Below are 3,449 nucleotides of genomic sequence, written 5' to 3' on the forward strand. Positions count from 1 at the left end.
CCTCATAACTTAAAGCCCAAATTTACTTAGATGGCTCCCAACCCATATCATTGGCCTTTCACTAGCCCAACCAGTGACACTTGAACAAAGTGTACGGGGTGTTAATGTATGTTAGCAAATTATTTGACACTCCTCCAATCAAAAAGTCTTATTCACCAAGTGATTTACTTCTGAAGAATAGGATGTGGCAGCAGTGAGCAAGTACAAGTTCCAAGGCTAGATTAGAAAAGGTCATTGGGATTCTGACTGATTCTCTCCCTTGGGACATGCACTTCAAGAGCCCTAGCTGCTGTGTAATACGTCTCACTACTCTGAAGCTGTCATACTGGAGAGACCACATGGAAAGACCACAAGAGAAAGAAAGAAATGCTGAGGAGCTCCAGACATTTTTGTCTCAAAGCATTTGCATCTTCCCAGACAACAGAAAACATCACTACCACACCTGTGAGTCAGCAGCCCTCAGATGGCTCCAGCCCAGCTTTCAAGCCACTGTGACAAAGCAAAGACAAGCTGACCCTCTGAGTCCTGCCCAAATTGCAACTATGTGAGAAAATGAAATATTGATATTGTTTTAAGCTACCAGTTTGGGGGATGGTTTGTTACATAGCAATAGACAAGCCTAATACAGACCTTATCCCTATCAAGAGAGAAAATCAAGCTTCACATAGAAAAGTGACTAAATCAATAGTCTCTATAATTTTTTGATCACACAATCACAATAAATGTTTGTTTACTTATTTATTGATTTAATACATGTATGACTACACTAATGTACTACGCACAGACATAAACTTTCAAAAGGAGGAGCTAAAAACAGAAATTCTGATATTTCCCCCGGTCCCAAAAGGTTTATTATGCTCACCCAACTTCAAAAACTTCTGAAGGCAGCATGCAAATTGTTTATATAATAGTTCTGAAATTCCAGGTGATTTGACAAACTACTAGTTAGGAACAGATTACAAGTGCCAAATTTGAAGGAAACATGTGGATTTTACGTAGTCTTTAAAAAAAAATCACTTTAGCAAACAACAGAGACATTTAGAATGGAAGGAGCACTTGGAAGTTTTAGCTAACAACTCAACTCCAATATCAGCTATGCCAGTAGTTTGTTACAGAAGTTAAGAGACAGCAGTTCATGAAGTGTTACTCTTTTGATTTAGTTCGATTGGTTTCCAGGAAAACTCTGTTATAAGATATACTGCAGTCACTCATGTTCAATGGTGTTTCCTGGAAGTAGACAATCTGGCATAGTGGCCAAGATCACCACCTTGCCAGGAGTGTGGCTTGGTGGTTAAATCTTCTGAAGTAAGCCCACTGCTCTCCCACTGTGCCAAACAGGCTGGGTATCCTTGGGCAACTACTTAACTCTTTAAGCATCAATCTCTACTTCTGCAAGTGGTGATGACAATGGCATCTAACTCTTAAGGTAATGAGGATTTAATCAAGTATCTAAAGCTCTTAGCACTGTTCCTGAATTGGAATGAGTGCTCAATACATGTTAGCTGTTAATTGTTGTTATTATTGTTATTATCAAAAGATAAATAATTAAATTTATAATTTAAGGAATTAGTAAATTGTGTGTGTGCCTGTCTGTCTTTCCTGAAAGAAAATGGCATTCTTTCAGTCAGGATTAAGGCAGAAAACGAGCCCATTCCCAATCTTTTGCTCATCCAGTCCTAGTCCCCTACTCCTCCACCCTAGGCCACCCTCAAACTATTTATAAGTGGGGCAACTGAAGTGTGGAAAACGGAAATAACTCACCACAAGTAACAAAGCTTATTTATGACAAAAGTTGTACCAAAACTAGTGAACTAGATGCGTAACAGAAATATCAGTGTACTTTGGAATAAGATGTAGTTCCAATATGTGGTTCAGTAGCATTATAATTCCAGGTAACATCTGTTTCCTCTTCTGTAAAATTGGGAGTCATAATATACATATTGGCTCTTGTGTAGTGAAAATAAAAATATGTATAAAATGATTTTTGTTACACAAATGTAAGGTAGTAACATTATTAGAGGCCATATTTCCTAAGCTAGGTCTAATATGTAAACCAGTATTTTTCAAACTATAGGTGTTAACACATGGGATTTGCGGAATCAGTCTGGTGAGTCACAACCAGCATTTTACCAAAATATAAATAGATTAGAATAGAGTAGAATAGAACATATTAGGAAATATCCTTTATTTTAGATGGTAAGGTTCAGAATGATTTTGTGAAAGTTTCACACAAGATAATACATGCATAATCATGTAAAAATATTTTCTCAGTAGACAAGTTTGAAAGTCATCACACCACTGGCTTTGAAACTTCTATATGCCTCAGAATCACTCACAGGGCTTGTTAGAATATGTTAGCTTGTGTACAATGTTCCACAGAGATGCTAATATATAGAAAATCGAAACTGCACAGCACCACCTCATGAGATAGACGAGTGCAAAATGGAGGTAGACATTCATACGTTTGCCACAGGTTCCTAACAGCCTTATTTCTATTTTGTTGATAAGATTTGGCCAGAAAACTTTACATATTGGGGAGTTCTTCAAATATTTACTGGAAAAAAAATGCACTGACAACTCCCAAATACTTGGCTAAATCACCAACCAAAAGGGGGCAGGAGTTGATCAAAGAGTCCCTTAAAAGCTTTCTACTCACTCTGTAGGGAGCAGTCTTGGCTAGTCATGAATAAAAACAAGCATTGGGATACTCTAATTTTCCCATCTGCAACTTGTAGTCTGTAAATAAGCTGTCAGGTATCTGTCATTAATTCATTCATTCAATGAATATTTATCAAACAGCATGTCAAGCCCTGTATTAGAAACTGGGAATACAATGGTGAGCACATTGCTCTTGCCTATGGAATTGTTTGGGCCAGTTCATTTCCAGGCCAGGTGACAACACACAACATTCATTACTCAAAGTACTGATGATTTATGATTTTAACATTTAGGACACATTACAGCTGCTAAAATAACTTTTATATCCATTATCTCATTAAATCTGTATAGCCATAATCTAAGTTGTTTAGAGGAGGTATTAGTTCATTTTATAGGCTGAGGAAACAAAAGTCCAAGGTTCACTAAGTAGTAAGTGTTGAGACTAGAATTCAAACCTGAAAGCCTGATCCCAAACACTGTCTCTTCCCACAATGCAGACTTGCTGTTTCTTACCCTTTCCATTCCTGGGCTGACGATGAATGCAGATGAGGAGCTGAGCATGAGGGTCTGTGTATCAAGATCCCACAAGCTCTACTTCTTTTTCAGTGCTTCTGCTGTCTTACTGCATTTACGGGAAACCCAAACTGCTCCAGGGATATGACTCATAAAGAGTTTTAATGCAGAAAGAGGGTGCTTACAAAATGGTTGGAAGAGCTAAAGGAGGAAAAGTCAGAGGGCCCTACTGGACTCTTGGTTTTTTTGTTTTTTTTTTTGGTTTTTTTTGAGGGACA

Source organism: Homo sapiens, chromosome 6 (genome assembly GCF_000001405.40).
Source record: "Homo sapiens chromosome 6, GRCh38.p14 Primary Assembly".
Taxonomy (NCBI): domain Eukaryota; kingdom Metazoa; phylum Chordata; class Mammalia; order Primates; family Hominidae; genus Homo; species Homo sapiens.